Source organism: Homo sapiens, chromosome 4, assembly GCF_000001405.40.
Source record: "Homo sapiens chromosome 4, GRCh38.p14 Primary Assembly".
Classification (NCBI taxonomy): domain Eukaryota; kingdom Metazoa; phylum Chordata; class Mammalia; order Primates; family Hominidae; genus Homo; species Homo sapiens.
In genome coordinates, this window is record NC_000004.12 from 173568303 (window position 1) to 173586059 (window position 17757).

General features: G+C 39.3%; 1 long non-coding RNA gene across 2 annotated transcripts in view; it reads left to right on the forward strand.

The window, feature by feature from the left end:
* The window catches only part of HAND2-AS1 (HAND2 antisense RNA 1), a 62656-nt gene that overhangs the window by 39703 nt on the left and 5196 nt on the right, over positions 1 to 17757 (forward strand). Inside the window, exons 4-5 of one of the 2 annotated variants that reach the window (NR_136195.1) lie at positions 14403 to 14576; positions 16334 to 17426. This is a non-coding gene — a long non-coding RNA (HAND2 antisense RNA 1). Of the gene's footprint in view, positions 1 to 14402; positions 14577 to 16333; positions 17427 to 17757 lie in introns of those variants that run through there. The other variant, NR_136196.1, reaches the window with a different exon arrangement.

The window sequence follows — 17757 nt, forward strand, 5'->3', positions numbered from 1 at the left end:
TTGTTTTGGCTGCTGATTTGTTCCAGTTTCTGATCTTTTTTGTAGTTGAAACATTTAGATTGAGGATCTTCACAATGATTACTTTTTCTGAAGACTTTATCTTCAGCTCAGGCTTGGGACTCTGGCAGACATGTTAGTATCATCTGATCCAAGCAGGGGCCTTCAGAATCTCTTCCAGGCAATTTTGAACTGACGTGCAGAATCAGTGTCTGCGAGTGGCTATAGCTCAGTGCTGTAAACATGAGAATTGCTGTTGGACACCCATCTTTCACCACAGGAAAAGGTGGTGTGGAGAGAAAGGGAGAGAGAGTCAGGTGCAGTGGCTCACGCCTCTAATCTCAGCACTCTAGGAGGCTGAGATGGGAGGATTGCTTGAGCCCATGAATTTGAGATCAGCCTGGGCAACATGGTGAGACCCTGTCTCTGCAAAAACAACGTAAAAATTAGCTGGGCATGGTGGCACATGCCTGTAGTACCAGCTACTTGTGAAGCTGAGGTGGGAGGATCGCTTAAGCCCAGGAGGTCAAGGCTGCAGTGAGCCACGATCATGCTACTACACTCAAGCCTGGGCAACAGAGCAAGACCCTGTTCTCAAAAAAAAAAAAAAAAAAAAGCAGGGTGTGGTGGGGCGGGTAGGTGGAGGAGAATAGGGAGAGAGAGATTGAGAGAACCCGCCTGGGTTCTTTTATTTTTATTTTTGGAGGTGGAGTCTTGCTGTGTTGCCCAGGCTGGAGTGCAGTGGTGTGATCTCGGCTCACTACAATCTTCGCCTCCCGGGTTCAAGCGATTCTCCTGCCTCAGCCTTCTGAGTAGCTGGGATTACAGGTGTGCACCACCACACCTGGCTAATTTTTATATTTTCAGTAGAGACGGGATTTCAGTATGTTGATCAGGCCAGTCTCAAACTCCTGACTTCGTGATCTGCCTGCCTCGACCTCCCAAAGTGCTGAGATTACAGGCGTGACCCACGGCGCCCAGCCACTGCCTGGGTTCTTGATGGCTTTTCAGGTTTGGGAAAGATCTCTGGGTTCTACTAGACACCTCAGTTCCTTCCAAAAAGATCTCTTGTTTGCTTAAACTGAATTGAGTTGGTTTCTGTTGCATGTAACCATAAAGACCTTGACAAAGAGCCCATTTTCCAAGCCCCTCTTTTGGTAAGTTGCCTTGATCTCGGTGCCCTCCTTGAGTGGAGGCCTGGGATTGCTCTTGCCAGGGCACTGGTGGGCAAGGCAGTGCATAGAGCCTACTGCTGGATGCCATACTCTGTCTGCCAGCAGGACCCCCTTCCCATCAGTTTAGTAGAGGCTTGACTCCTAGGAGCTAATGTCAGTGGGTAGGTTTGGTTCTAGACCTCATCCCCTCCTACTTGCAAGAAACAGGACTATTCAGGCCACGTCCTTCAATATGATGTATTCTATTCTGTATAGATTTGCAATTTAAAGATATGTCTATGTATTTCCTAATAACCAGTTAAAACGCCCCCAATAAATGGATAATTGCATTTGTAAAATTTATGAATAATAAAAAGCAATTTAACCTGGATATGTGCAGTTTATTAGAGCAATCTTGAATACATATCATTGCAGAAAATCCAGTAGGAGAATTAAGATGCTGGTACAAGGCCAAGCTTAGAGGATATAAATGGAGTTGTATTATTTCCAATTTTACTGATAGGAAAACTGAAGCTTCTGGTAATAATAAAGGTGGAGCTTGAATTGAGGTCTCTTTGTTTCCAAAGGTATGAAGGTAATAGTAAGGAACCCAAAATTGGGAAATATAGAAACAAGTGATTTCCTGTGGAAAAAGGAATGTTGGGAATGACTTTTCTTTAAAAAAAAATCTGTTTGTGTAGTGAAAAAATAGGTTCTAGAAAATCACTTAGAAAGTTTATGTCACGAGAACAGAAAATCAAACATCGCATGTTCTCCCTCATAAGTGGGAGGTGAACAATGAGAACACATGGACACAGGGAGGGGAACATCACACACTGGGGCCTGTCGGGGGGTGGGGGGCTAGGGGAGGGAGAGCACTAGGACAAATACCTAATGTCCAGGTTGATAGGTGCAGCAAACCATCATGGCACGTGTATATCTATGTAACAAACCTGCATGTTCTGCACACGAACCCCAGAACTTAAAGTATAATAAAAAAAAAAGAAATTTTGTTATGTTACTTAACAACTGTGGCCTGCAGGCTCATCTGAGAGACTTCTTTCTTTTTTTCTCTCTCTTTGCTTACTTGAGGATTTAAGCCAGCATCCACAAGAGTCTGTGGATTCACTAATACAGCCACATTGTTGTTAAGGACAAAAATTCTGGCCTTTAAGTCTAGTGTAGTTAAGACAATGAACTGACTGGGTTGCTCGTTCTCCCTCTGCCCTTGCTGATAATGTTTTAGTTCCCTTCCTCTGGTTTGTCCATCTTTTCCCTCTCATCTGTCTCCAGTCTATTCACTCAGTGTCTACCAGCTTATTTGGATGGGTTTGTCTGAAGTTTTCTCCAGCTAATACAATCATCTATGCTAATGTTACTGTTAAGATGCCTTAAAAAAGTAAACAAATTCCAAAAATCAATTCCTTAACCTCCTAAATATTCTATTTTAGTGTTTCCAGGCTTAGCATGGCCAAAATCTTAAATTCAAACACTGAATCTAATTACAGATCTACATACAAGAAAGATGTTTAGAGTCAGTTTGTCATGATGAGGAGAATTCTATGCCAACAGTTTTATGATTTAATTTTGTTTATTCCTAAAATTCCCAGTCTAATGGGCCTATCCAGGATCATGTCAAACATGGAAATCTTACCATGGTGTGGAGTAATTAGATTTTTTCCCCCAAATTACTTTACCATACGTTTTAATCAATAACTAGCAACATTTAAACTCTTACAATCCTATCAGCTGTAAGAGAAAAGTAAAGGACTAATTAAAAGACCTGTGTCCACAGTAGAAAAAAAATGATGAATCTTTTCATCACTCAGCAGCTTAGGGATGGTCCAAATATATTGTTTTCTTTTTCCCCCTTGGAGTTATTTATTGGTCAGGGGGAGGGTGGACAGAACTGCTTTTGAAGTTAAACATCTTGCTTGGATGAGCAGATATGTTGCATCAAATCAAAGTAATAAAAAGACAAAATGCTTTATTAAATCTTCTTTATCACTATATTGTGCTCCAATAGGATGATCTAATTAAAGACACAGTTGAGCCTCTTTTCATCTGAAGAGGAGTTCACAGGCTTTCATTATTAAAAGGTTTGCACAGAAACAAATACGTGGCTGTATTGCTTCCAAGTTTCTCAGCGGTGCCTCCTTTCTGTTTTGCTGTAATTGTTATGGAAGTCTTGGCTGCCACTTCATGGCTTGATACTAACTAGTCCTTTTCATCTTCAAAGTACCTGTGAGGCATTAACATGACTAATATTTATAATGCCACTCTGAGGTAGGCACTAGACGTCTGGAAGTGTTGTATTCTTTTTGAAGATATGAAAACAAAAGAATTGAAAGTGGTGTCTACTTGAATGCTGATGATGAACATTTGGCTTTCTAGTTCTGAGTTTGCAGATGTCTAAGCTGGCACTTTGTCTTCCTAAGATATTGCTAATTCATTCTGCATAACAGGGGACTCCTTCAAACTCATCACCATAATCCCCATCATCAAAAAAATGTAGAAAAATTAGAGAGAAACGGACTAGTGATTGCCCCTGGGTTGTGATATTCCTAGGTCCTCTCAATTTAATAAGCATTCACTAGGTGTTAAATTGTGTTTTACTTTTTTTTTTTTTTTGAGACTAAGTCTTGCTCTGTCACCCAGGCTGGAGGGCAGTGGCGTGATCTTGGCTCACTGCAACCTCTGCTTCCTGGTTCAAATGATTCTTGTGCCTCAGCCTCCCGAATAGCTAGGACCACAGGTGTGCAACACCATGCCCAGCTAATTTTTGTACTTTTAGTAGAGATGGGGTTTTGCCATGTTGGCCAGGCTAGTCTCAAACTCCTGACCTCAGATGATCCATCCACCTTAGCCTCCCAAAGTGCTGGGATTACAGGCATGAGCCACTGCACACAGCCTTTGTTTTATTTTAATTCCTGAATAATATTAGTCTTGCATAAAATGTCACTCAGATTCTGCTACCTTAGGGGTCAAAAGTAGCTGCTGCATATAGGTCTTAATTGACCAGCCAAAGTGTTTTATAATTTTTTTAAAAATTTGCAATTCTTGTGATGAAGTTTGTGCTCCTTAGTTTACCATAGGCCTTCTATTGTTTTACACAGAATTGATTCTGTGTAATAGATGTTACCTGTATCACTACTGGAAGCATTTGAGTGTACTTACTTAAATAGAGAAGGGAAGGATTATCTTATTTTCTCCAAACCAGGACAAATTCGGTAAGTCAGCAAAATTGATGAATTGTTGAATTTCCTTGACATCATCTCACTCCTGCCCAAAATGATCTCTTCCCTTTTCCCTTTGTCTGTCAAATTTTTATTCTTTCTTTTCCCTTTCTCCATCAAATTCTTATTCTTTTTATTGCAGTTAGCATTCTCAGAGGAGAGTAATCTAATAAGGGAATCCACACTGAGTTGTAAATGACTGCACCAGCTTGACGTTTTACCCCTCCAGAGCTACTGGAAGGAGGATGGTAACCATGGCTTCACCTCTTACATCTGCCAAGCCAGTGGAAATATTTATAGGGACATAACTTTTTTTTTGCATGATTGTAATCTCGCAAATCCAATTATATATTTGTGATTATTGGCTTTTACACTGTGTATATGTAAGGCAAGCCTTACCCTAAAGCCTATTTCTATAAGGTACATTCAGATTTCTACATCAGAATCTAGAAAATTGGAAGAAATCAACAGGAAAATGTTTAAAAAGGTAAGTCTAAAACATTGTTTATTTATTTAGGCTTCTCTCCTTGTGTATGAAAACATATAAGAAGACACCACAAGGGAAGGGAATGTTTTGGGACAGAAAGCAAAGAAAAGCTAGACAGACCCTCTTCCATTCTTACTTCCATTCTGAATTGGATGCTGACCAGCTTGGCCCTGGGAGTTTCAGATGCAGATAGGGTGGAGATTTCCAGCTATGATGAATGATGAATGATCTCAGATGGAGGAGCTGGTCAGGGAACAGCAACTATGCATAAGAAACGTGAAACCTTCCAGTCGTGACCTATTTCAGAACAGAACTGCAGGCTTGAGAGCGGACAGTGCAGCGCAGAGCTGCAGCCTCCCTGTATCTTCTCAGCCATGATCTTGGCAGCTTCTTTGTCTCCTGCCTTTAACTTCCCCTCAGTGGAGTTAAGTCAACCTAAGTCCTCAAGGACTCAGGCAGTCTAAAAGCAAGTCACTTCCTGGGACATGAGCATCTCAGTTAATTCCTTTAGACTTCCATTTAAAATTTTTACAGGTTTTTAGCTTTCATTTAACAATAATTTGTGATCAAGATTAAATTAGAGTTTATTTTACTTTTAGTGACATTTTCACAACTAGTTTGAACTTAGGTCTCTTGCTGGAGAAATATTTACAAAGAATTAACATCAGATTGCATGGTATAAATGCCATGCCATTCAACTATGTAAATAGCAGCTGAGATGTTTAATTGAAAATAAAACACTGGTAAAATGTAAACATCATTTTTGTTCCAGTTGCAATGATGTAGGCTTCATGGTACAAATGAAAGCAGTAACTGATGGCAGAAGTTAGAGTTTGTAACAGGGTCCAATAACTCTCGTGTGTCTGGAAACCCTTTTAGTAACTGCTGTACTCTTGAATGCTGTTCAGTCCACTTCTCAAAACACACTCATTTCTTGTCACAAAGATTGGCTGTTTGAAACCTCCTACACTGGCACTTTAATATACAATCCAATGCACCATCAGGCATTGGGTTCCTGCGCTCATTAAGCTATTTCCTGGGTGTAAATTAGATGTCTCTCTAAATTACTTTATTCTTTCAGGCCACTAAAAGTACACGTGACACCCTATGGCATCAAATTATGCTTATTTATTTATGTATCTGTAACATTGTGTTGTATGGCGCAACCTCTGCAAAACCCTCAGGTCATATCTTGACAAGTATAATATGGGAGTATTAACTGCAACTAGGTTGTGGTATAAGGAATGTATAATTACTTTGGGGACAGTTTTCTAAATATATCTTTTCTTGGAAAGGGGTCCTTTATTCCAGATTTATGGGCTGTAATATGTGGGATGAAATTGTAATACCTTTAGATCCAAACTTTGGTGCAGGTGGAAGATTGTTTCAATGATCCCAATGATTACATAATTTGTCTTTAAATTACATTAATAAAGAGCTTCCATTACCTTTCTTGAAAAACTCTTAGCCACAAAACAATAACTTGCTATGAATAACATAGATCTAAAACCAGACTTCTTACATCAGCTATGAAATCTTTGACAAGTTACTTAACTATTCTACTGTTTGGCTTTCTCATCAATGAAATGGATATGGAAACAATGTCTAGTTCATTGGGCTGTTGTAAATTAAATGAAGTAACATATGTAAAGTGATGAGAACAGTGCTTGGCATGGTTAATGTTATGTATATGTGAATATTATTCATTTAATTAGTTAATATTTATTAAGGATTTAATGTTTTATCATCTACTAAGATGCATCATCTTTCTATATTATTATTATTATCTTTTATGGGAAACAATTCTGTAAGGAAGTAAACCTGATTACAAGCTCTCACTGTTTATTTCCCCTAAGTGAAGAATTAGAATCTCATGAAAATGTGCTCAGATGTAGCAATATTTTTAGTATAAACCCTTTAAAAAAATGTAAAGGGAAGTATCTGGACTTTAGTAAGCACATATGCAATGAAATATTAGTTTGACCTTTTTGAGGTGGAAATGAATATTTATTGGAATAATAATATTTCAAAATATATTATTGTGTTTAAAAATAGATTATAACACAGCAGGCACAGAATAGTTCCACTTTTTAATAAAAACGTAATGCCTATGGATGCATAAATAATCAGCATTTTGACCTTTAAAAAGTTGATTTTATTTTATTCAGATGGTAAAGATATCACCAAGAGTATAATTCTATGTCAAATTGCATTTTTGTCCTCATTTAGTGAAATGTTTATATGCAAATAATACTTTTACATTTTATGTGTTATACAAAGAAAATGAAACTATAAGTTTACGGGGATCACCTAAGGTAAAAAATGAAAAAGATCAAACGTTGGAATTCAATTTAAAATACTATATTCTTTTTTGTTGAGAAATGGTCAAATCTTGTTTTCTGGCATGAGGGTCAAAGATCCCAGGATAGATTATTCTGGTCCCTGTTATAGCCACATCTCTCTCTATGATTGGAGTTAAGTAAAACCCAGGAATTATTTTATGACCTTCCTTATTGCAGCAAAGACATTGGTGTGAGGCAGATCTACTTTGTTTTCCATCCAAGGCATTTCATTTCTGAAGCTCAAAGTGGACTTTGTCAGAAATAGAAAATTATTTCCCCAATTCAAAGGCTTTTTTAAAACAACAAATAAAACTAGCACATTTATAGGCCAGATCCTCCCTCTCCCTTCCCTGGGATGTCCATGTTATTTAGATTTGGAGCACCAGCCACTGTCTTTCGGACTTTGAATCTTGAGGAAGGAATAAGAGCGTAGTGGATGGATGGAGGGCTCGCTGTTGCAGTGGAATTGGGCCGGCCAGCATAGCCTGCCTGGCTCCCAGCTCTGTGGGAACCCTGGGTTCCTAGATATTTTCCCAGCCTGGGCCTCCAGCCTCCCATCATTTCTGCAAGACTCCATATACCCCCATTCAATACTTCTTCCACCTTTTTTTTCCTTATGATAATCAGAGTAGTTTTCTATTTCTTGCAAACAAGAATTTTCATTGATGCAACAAATTTCAAAGCCTGGGTATAAATAAAAGTCAACATTTTACCCTGAATTATCAAGGCGACCAACAGGAACCAGTTGTAGGGTGATGCAACCTTTAAATAATGTTTTATTTGAAGCTATTCTAATAGCTATTGGGAAGCCATATCAACTATACACTTCTGTAGGATCTAACAAATACAATTTGCCCAAATGTATTTGCTTTTGGCAGTCATCTCTAAATCAGCCAGTGATGGCACATACTGTAACTCGATTCTGTATTTTCAGAATTTGTGCTGCCATTTGGGAATCTGAACTTTGACATTATTGGAATGAGCAATTCTAATGTTTTGGGAAGGTGGGGAGAAGTAAATCAACAGGCATGTAATTGGTTTCGATACTGTGCTTTTCAAAACTGAAATGTTTGCAATGCTGTTATTAGCTGAGATACTGTAGATAGTTTTACATGTTGGGAACAATTAACACGTGTCCTGTGGGTCTGATTATTAGCGTTAAGGAAGTTCTGCTCTGTGTAAACCCCAAAGCAAAGCCTCCAGGAAAGTTAAAGGTCCCTGTTCTACCATTAAAATGGGAAAGTAATGTGCCCTTTTTTGATTGACTATAAACTTTGACTTGTGGGACTTTGTTCTCCAAGGTGAAAACAAACATGAGTACAAGACAAGTTGTTTTCCTTAAAAATTCAATCTTTAGCAGAAACCATGTATCAGAAAATTTCTTAAAATAAAACTAAATCAGTATTGCCTTTATGGCTAACACAGGAAAAAAACAAGTTAAAAAGCTAAGGTGGCAATTTTCCTTAAAATACAGCACAGAAAAAATTTTGCATGTTTAGGACATTGCCCAGAAGACTGATAAATTTGATATTTGATATGTGAAACCGTTGGAGGCATTGCATGAAAAGTTGTAATTATAAAAGATTTTAGGAGTAATTAAATGATTGAACGTAAATTTATGAGACATCCTGGTTTTTATGTGTCATAGATCCTTGAAATACAAAAGTAATTAGGTGAGATTCACACAAACACAGTAAATTAAATGTATTACTAGTAATGTAGAGTAATATTCAGATTCTCCATTATATGTGAGTAGAAAGAGAGTCGTAAACCTGGCCTTCTGCTCCCAGCTTCTTTCCTAACACCAAATAACTAACCTGAGGCCCAGTTTCCTCACATGTAAAGTGAAAAACATGGACTACAAGAGTTCAGTCTTCTATAAGTGCTGGAAACCTCGACGATCCTGAAGTTAATCTTTTAATAAGTTTAATCTTATGTGTTTATTTATTTTTATTTTTTTCTCACTCATGGACTCAGGTCACAAATATGTTTAATCTTTTGTGTAGTTGTTTGATTATGTTTTTTTTTTTTTTCTCAAGATGAAGGAGAAAAGGAACAGAAAGAAGTGTGATGTCAAAGTAGACAGTATACTCCAAAGTGCCTCGCCTCTGAGTGGATTTAGGAAGGCAGAACCCCCCTCCTCTATATCCTTCCAGTCCTCAAAAGACAGGTGGGGGGCATTGTTCCTCTAGCAACTATCACCCAAGGCAAAGAGTTAGTCTCTTCAAAACACAGGGAAATCCTGGTGTCAAAATGGAAAGTGCTGGGCTAAAGAAGTGGTTTCTGCCTCTGTCACAAACAGCCTCGTGGCTCTGAACAAATTCCACAGCCTCGGTAGGCCTGTTATCTTCCATAGTGGAAGGACGGCTTTCCAGCTCTTTCTTTTTTTCATCCAAAGAACCTGTGTTTTGGGTATAATGACCTAACTTACCTAGTATTTTGAGGTTAAGTTTCCTTTAATTTGCCAAAAATATTATCATTCCAAGTGAAAATAGAGAGCTCCAAAGTCAAGACCAAGTTTGTCATTTTTAAACCCCCACAGGCCAGAGCTGGACCTTCCCTCCAAGAAAGGAAATAAAAGAGCTAGGCACATGGTCAGGCAAACTGTTAAAGCTGTGGGAAGACAGAGAGATTAGACATTTTTCTACCAAAGGCAAGAAACTTGTAAGAGGAAAGTGAAGAAAATAAAATTAGAGGCAAAGGGAAGAAGTGGGGGAGGAAGAAGGAAATAGAATAAGTGCAGCCCCTCCGGCCCGGCCGTCTTTGAAGTGAGGCCAGAACTACCGCAAAGGATTGTGGGAGACGAGGTCAAGAGAAAAAGTAGATGGAGACCCTTTGCTCAGAGGTTAATAGTTACGTGTCAGAAGTGTTTTATCAGAGTAAAATGCCCTGTGCATTTTTAGATACTTTTTAGAGGAGTAAACCAATTCTGTGGAAGTTTCCCAAGGTCCTTAGGAAAGAGGAGTTCTATGGTTTATAACCTAAAAAAAACAAAAATAACGGTATTTTGGAATTACAGAGTCTGTTTTAATTAGCAATAACAACAAACTATGGAAGAGACCTGGTATTTCATATTTAAAATGGGTTCGAAACAAACTAGTTTTGTTTTTACTTTGGGGTGCAAGGGGTGGGCGAGTGAAGCCTCTGATCGTGATCTGGAGAGCCCATTAATTGCTCACCAGCATCTGCTCTGTTTCTACAAGTTCTGTGCCATGTAGCACTGTAAATTATGAATGAGAAAGATGATCTTTGCTCTTCTTAGGACTTCTGACTCCTAAGCCATGCTAGACAAAGGTCATAGCTGAGGTGAATTTCAGTTAGCTTTGGCAAAACCCATTTTCTTGTTCAGATAGCTGAATAGATGGTTGTGCAAAATTAGCAAAGGTTACTATGGGAGCATTAAGAAAGTTTACCAAAAGGGTAGCAGACAGTAGTTCAAGCAATATTTCCTTGAATGAGTTATCCAAAGGGCTTCAAATCATAAGTTCCAGGGAGATAGTTTTTTGTTTTGTTTTGTTTTTAAAATAAGAATACTAAACATTTTCCTTTATGTTTGGCTTATTTCTTTGTGTGAAAGTGATGCGGTCGAGTTTTTATTTGTGTAGCTCTCCTGGAACATGCTGTCACGCAGCCACTCACATGATTAAGAGGGCTCGCAGGAAACCTCCACCTCTGACTGTTTAATTTACCAGGACTTTTAAAAGCAAGACTGATAAAATTCATAAATTTATCACATCTCTAGCGGCTGATGACACTCATCAAGTCTGTTCCTGAAACTCTTTGGTTCTGTGCTTTTGTAAAGCGGGGTCACTGATGACAAACCTAATGCAGAACGATCAAGTCATAACTAACTTTTAAATGTTTCCTTGAAGGTTAAGACCAGAGGATCTGAATAAAAAAGTAGCAGGATCCTTGCTCTGATCTTTCCTGACATTTCCCAAATCCACAAGGCAGAGGGCATGGTGCAGGGTTGGAGAGTAAACTGTTCCATACTCAGCTCTCAATGAGGAGCACCGGCAAGCTAGTTTTTGCAGGCAGGTAAAGAAATAAACATACACACATTATGGGACTAATATTTGATTTGCCTGTGGGTGTATTTTTAATAAGCTTATCAAAAACACATATCTGCAAAGAATATTTAAGAGCACAGGTGTAATAAATAATCATATAATTGCAAAATGCTGAGATGCAAATTTCTATTGTTTGATGCATTTTTTAAAAAAAATGCTCTCATTCTTCTAGCTTTTCCCAGTACAGCTGTTATACAAAAGGAACTGATTTAATTCCTTTTAGGATTATGAAGATGGTTGGAAGCCTGTTTAAGATTATGTTGCCTCGTCTTTTAATTGTTGGTCAACATTTCAAATAGAATGCAATATATTTTGTGCCCGATGACAAGCAAACTACATGTTTCTTATAGGATGGATGGTTACTTGTCTTTGTAAAACCAAATATCATTCTCTGAAAAGCAGGTCAGGTAATGCTAGCCTTAGTTAATAGCTGGGGGTACCTTGAGTACCTCTCAAATCAATAATGACAGAGGTAGCCTGATAGCAATTTATGAACCACAGTCCTCTTGGGAAACATATTTCAAACCATAACTTCATCTAAACTGTTTATCGGCTAAGCTTGCTCAAATGTATGAAGTGTCAAAAAGTTTCTTTGACATTAGGCTTGTTATTGTCCTTTGATTTATGCACTTAAGCAAAATGCAGTAAATAAAAAGATTGGTGGTTTAGTATTTTAAGGAAATGATTAGAAACATTTGCCAATGCTATTCATTTTATACAGTTTTTCTTTCCAAATTACAAAAATAGTGTTTCAATTCAGTGAATGGCTTCACCATAACAAAATCTTAAATGATCATTATAGTAAGTGGAAATGCTGATGAAGTTACTATGAAATAGTTTAAAAACTGTGAAGTAAATATGTAATGCTCATATATAAAGCATTTGTCTCTCTCCTTTAATTTCATATGCCTGGCAGTTTACAAAATGTCCCATAATAATCTAAGGCACATTTATGGTTGTGAATTTACCTTATTAAAAACATAGTTGGTTTTTGCAGAAACTTTCATATGAAAAATACAGAGGACAATTCTCTTGGAAAGCATCCTTCAAGAAAATTATTGGGCTTAGACGAAACATTTTGATTTGCTAGGAAATGAAAATACTGACTTTTCAGATTTCTTGATGATGGAATATTCTAGAGGTACAAAATGCATCCAAAGTCAAACTCTAAGACAAATCTTTTAAACAAGATTTCATTTCAATATTGTAGTTTATGATTTTACATTTCATTTCAGTTTGAAGCTTTTCATTCTTACAATTGCTTAACCACATTTTCATATTAGGCAACTCTAGGCAGTTATATATATATATATATATATATTATAGTTGGCCAAGGATTCCAAATGATTGCATGAGTTTTTAAAAGCTTATTTAAAAAAACAGATATAAATGCAATTCACTTGCACATTGTAGGCAAACAAGAAACCTAATGGAGACAGACACATTTTAATGCACAGGTTGCTTATATGAGGCTTTATGTGTCCAATATATGTTTTTCTGAGTACTTAACTACTAAGCTGATGGGTACCAGAAAAAAAGTCACAGATATAAAAGAACAAATGAGTTCACAGATATCTATACCAGAATTGTTAACTTAGCGAATGTTTCCTTGAAAACAGGATATAGTGAATCTGCATATATTTAATGGAAAGTGGTTGTATTTACTGGAGAATTAGGAGAAATGACTTCTTAATGGAGCCAGAAGTTCTGATCTGCTATCCTTCAAAGAAAGACTGTTTCCCAGGCTGGCCAAAATTCCTATGGAGCAACCTATGCCTATTGATAAGTTATCGGATTCCTCTCCGGAATCAGCTGGTCAGGAAGGATACAGAGGGGAGGAAGGGGAAGGGAGAGGAGATTCCGATAGTGGCGCTGTCTGATTGCCAAGGTAGGAGTGGGTGGAGAGTTGAGAAAGGAATAGTAAGAGAGGTAAAAGGAAAGAGAACAGGAAAGAAGAGAAAAATCAAAAAGAAACAAAGCAGAGGCCAAGCAGGGTGATAATAGCCATATAGAAAGGGCATCCTTGTAAATGGAACAGCATTCCAGATCTCCAGGCTCATTAGAATGGGGGATTGCTCACCTGGATTGCATGAACTTCTCAAGTCTCTGAACCCACTGAAATTGTATACATATTTTGGGAGTATGTATATGTGCATTTTTTTCTGCCTGGGGAAAGTGTTCTTTTCTTTGATCTGATTCACCAAGGGGTCCAAGACTCAATAAAATTTAAGAACTACTAATTTAGTGGGATTATACACAAATTTTAAAGACAAGTGTCTTTAAAGGAGTCATCGAATGCTTAAGATTGACTGTACATAATCCAAGAATGTTACCATCTAGTATTAAGTTGTATATTCTGGGAAGAGTATCCCAGAATATCCCATGTCTTTCAGACATGTAGAATGATAGCTGTTCATTGAAATGCTATTAAAATAAGTTTTTTTGAGACAAGGTCTCACTCTGTCGCCCAGGCTGGAATGCAGTGGTGTGATCAGGCTTACTGCAGCCTCTACCTCCTGAGCTCAAGTGATCCTCCCACCTCAGCCTCCTGAGTAGCTGGGACTATAGGCACGTGCCACTATGCCTGGCTAATTTTTTTTGTAATTTTGTAGACACAGGGTTTCGCCATGTTGCCTAGGCTGGTCTTGAACTTCTGGGTTCAAGGGATCCACTAACCCAAGTGCTGGGATTACAGGAGTGAACCACTGCCCTGGCCTTCAGCCAAATACTATTGATTGACCATTTGCACTAAGTTAAGTCAGCATTTTTCTCATTGAGTGCCCTGGGAGTGTGGAGAAACAGTGTGGTATGGGGGAAAGGGCATTAATTTGGAGCCAGATATTTCTGGGACTCAGGTACTATATGGAATTCAAACTAGTTTAGTGAAACTAGGAGGCTGATATGGCCTCCTTAACTCTGTATCCTCTTCTGTAAATGAAGAGGATGATCATTACTTCATAGGGCTGTTGTAGAAATGAAAAGAAATGCAATACTAGCCTACATTTATTGGATACTTACTATCTCTCATTCACTATGATATGTTTTCTGTGCTTTATGCAATTTAATCTTCTCAACAATTTGATGAGATTGATGTTATATTTATTTCTATTTTACAGATGGGGAAATTGAGGCAGAGAAGCCAAGACATGTGCTAAAGGTCATGCAGGCTATGAATGGAGCTGGAATGTGAACGCAGGCCATATGACCCCAGAGCCCATGTTCTTGAACCCTTAGAAAGACAGCAGCAACACACCTGGTGCAGCAGCTGCTTAGTTGGAGTGGCTGACAAGGTTGGCAGAGGATCCCGTTCCTCCCGTGGAGTGGCTGCCATGATACTGCCTGCACTGAAGCTGCTCCTATTTCTGAAATATGTATTGTTATTTTTTTCCCTGCATGTTGAACATTATACTCTTCTGTTCTTTCGCATTCTCTTCTTCCCTTCCGGATGACTTCTAGGGTTTTTGTGATTCTGTAATTCTAAAGGAGAAAGGATAATAAGAATTGTGAGGCCGGGCGCGGTGGCTCATGCCTGTAATCACAGCACTTTGGGAGGCCAAGGTGGGCGGATCACTAGGTGAGGAGATGGAGACCATCCTGGCTAACACGGTGAAACCCCGTCTCTACTAAAAATACAAAAAATTAGCGGGGTGTGGTGGCGGGCGCCTGTAGTCCCAGCAACTCGGGAGGCTGAGGCAGGAGAATGGCGTGAACCCGGGAAGCGGAGCTTGCAGTGAGCCGAGATTGCGCCACTGCACTCCAGCCTGGGCGAAGAGGGAGACTCCATCTTAAAAAATTAAAAAAAAAAATTACAGAAAATTAGCTGGGCGCGGTGGCGGGCGCCTATAGTCCCAGCTACTCGGGAGGCTGAGGCAGGAGAATGACGTGAACCCGAGAAGCGGAGCTTGCAGTGAGCCAAAATCGCGCCACTGCACTCCAGCCTGGGCGGCAGAGCGAGACTCCGTCTCAAAAAAAAAAAAAAAAGAATTGTGATGTGAGTGTCCAAAAAAACCCTGATTTCCAATCACCTACACATGGCTGTTTCCTAGATACACCAGAAAAAATTGTGACTTTCCGGATACCTAGTTTCCCTCCCTCCCTCCCTCCCTCCCTTCTTCCCTCCCTCCCTCCCTCCCTCCCTCCCTCCCTTCCTTCCTTCCTTCCTTCCTTCCTTCCTTCCTTCCTTCCTTCCTTCCTTCCTCCCTTCCTCTCTCTTTCCCTTTCCTTTTCCTTTTCCCTTTCCCTTCCATTCCCTTCCCCGCTTTTTATTTCTGGATACCTGGTGTTCTATCAGAATGAGATCTGCACAAGTATTATCCTAGCAACACAGGATCCCACCTACTCAACACACCTTTAAAAAACTCCTCGAATTGGCTGGGCGCGGTTGCTCACACCTGTAATCCCAGCACTTTGGGAGGCCGAGGCGGGCAGATCACGAAGTCAGGAGATCGAGACCATCCTGGCCAACATGGTGAAACCCCGTCTCTGCTAAAATACAAAAAATTAGCGGGGCGTAGTAGTACGCGCCTATAGTCCCAGCTACTCCGGAGGCTGAGGCAGGGGAATTGCTTGAACTTGGGAGGCGGAGGTTGCAGTGAGCCGAGATTGCGCCACTGGACTCCAGCCTGGAAACAGAGCGAGACACCGTCACAAACAAACAAACAAACAAACAAACAAACAAACTAGAACTGTACATTTTTTTTTAAGTTAGCCAACTTTCTGTGGGCAATTACATAATGTGAGCAGGCATTATATGACTTTGTGCTTTACATTCAAAGAAAGTTCAAAGCTTTTCTTCTTTTGGAGTGGTTTCCTTTTCCCCCAAGGGATCTGGGTAATATTGATGTGTTTAGTGTATTCAAATCCTAGAAAAGCACATATATAAAAATGTAAGTTTCTTTTAATTAAACCTCCTTTCTTTTTTTGTTTTTTCTTAGTACTGTTCATCAAAAAAATGGCCAGGTCTGGACTTAAGGGAATCTTATTCAAAGTTTTGGGAGATTTGAAAAGATATGTCCCCGTTGAAATAGAGTCTTGTTTTTTCTTCTAGGAGAGAATGATTTCCAGGAAGAGCGGAACACATATGGAAGGCCTTAGCTTATCTTTAGCGCCTCATACACCCGTTCTGGACTTCAGAAAGGCCAGTGAGTGGGATTAGGCCTCAGAGATAGGATGTCAGTCCCAGTGAGGGATGGCCTAGAGCATTCTTTAATTCTTTCCTTTGGGTCACACATAAGAAACAATTTTCCAGCACTGATGAGTGTTATTAACAATGAGATGGGATAGAATTTAGTTTTCCCTATGGCTGTGCTTCAAAAATAGAAAAGCTGTCTTTTCTCTGGAATGATTGAATGAAGCTCTGGGGAGGAAAAGGTGGATTGGCAGATCTCTTAAAGGAAGCTTCTCCTTCTAGGCACTATTCTAAGGCTTAATATTTTAACTCCCTATATTAACCTAGTTCAACTAAACAGTGATCTGAGTAATTTTATTTTTATTAAAGCTCAGATCAAAATGCCATTAACATTGATTGAGAAAATCAAAGGAATCTTTGATGTGAGTGGTTAAATTGCTGAATTATTTCAGTCCCATACCCTCACAGCATGAGTACCTGATCTGATAGACTTCTTTGGAATTCCTTTTTTGTTTGAGACAGAGTCTTGCTCTGTCGCCCAGGCTGGAGTGCAGCGGTGTGATCTCAACCATTGCAACCTCCACCTCCCAGGTTCAAGTGATTCTCATGCCTCAGCCTCCTGAGTAGCTGGGATTACAGATGTGCACCACCATGCCCGGCTAATTATTTTGTATCTTTAGTAGAGATGAAGTTTTGCCATGTGGGCCAGGCTGTTCTCAAACTACTGGCCTCAAGTGATCTGCCCGCCTCGGCCTCCCAGACTGCTGGGATTACAGGCGTGAGGCACCGTGCCTGGCTGGGATTCCATAATAAATCCCTCTGTGTCTATTTCTTTTTTCAAATATAATTTTCTTCATTTCCAAACATCATCTTTAAGACTCCAAGGATTTTTCCAGGCACAGTGGCTCATACCTGTAATCCCATTGCTTGGAGAGGCCAAGGTGGAAGTTCATTTGAGGCCAGGAGTTCGAGACCAGGTGGGCAACATAGTGAAACCTTGTCTCTACAACATAAAAAAAAAAATAAAACCCTAAGGAAATAATGGTGCCTCACTACCTTTCAAAGCTTTTGACCTTCAAGTCAGAAAATAAATTATTTTTAGGAAAGGCATCTCAACCTTATTTACAAATGAACTATTTGTCAAGAGCAACCTCTATAAGGATAATAGGACTTCCTGGTTTGAAATGCAGCATGAACAATTCTCAGAGGCTCCTGGAAGACTAAGAATGAGGTTTCTTGATCCGCCTTCCCTCGGCATCTTCTCACTCTCTTCCCTCCTTCTCAGAAGCTGTGTGCAGCAATGGGCTATGCAACTGGTTTCACTGGTGCCTGGTAGAACTTTT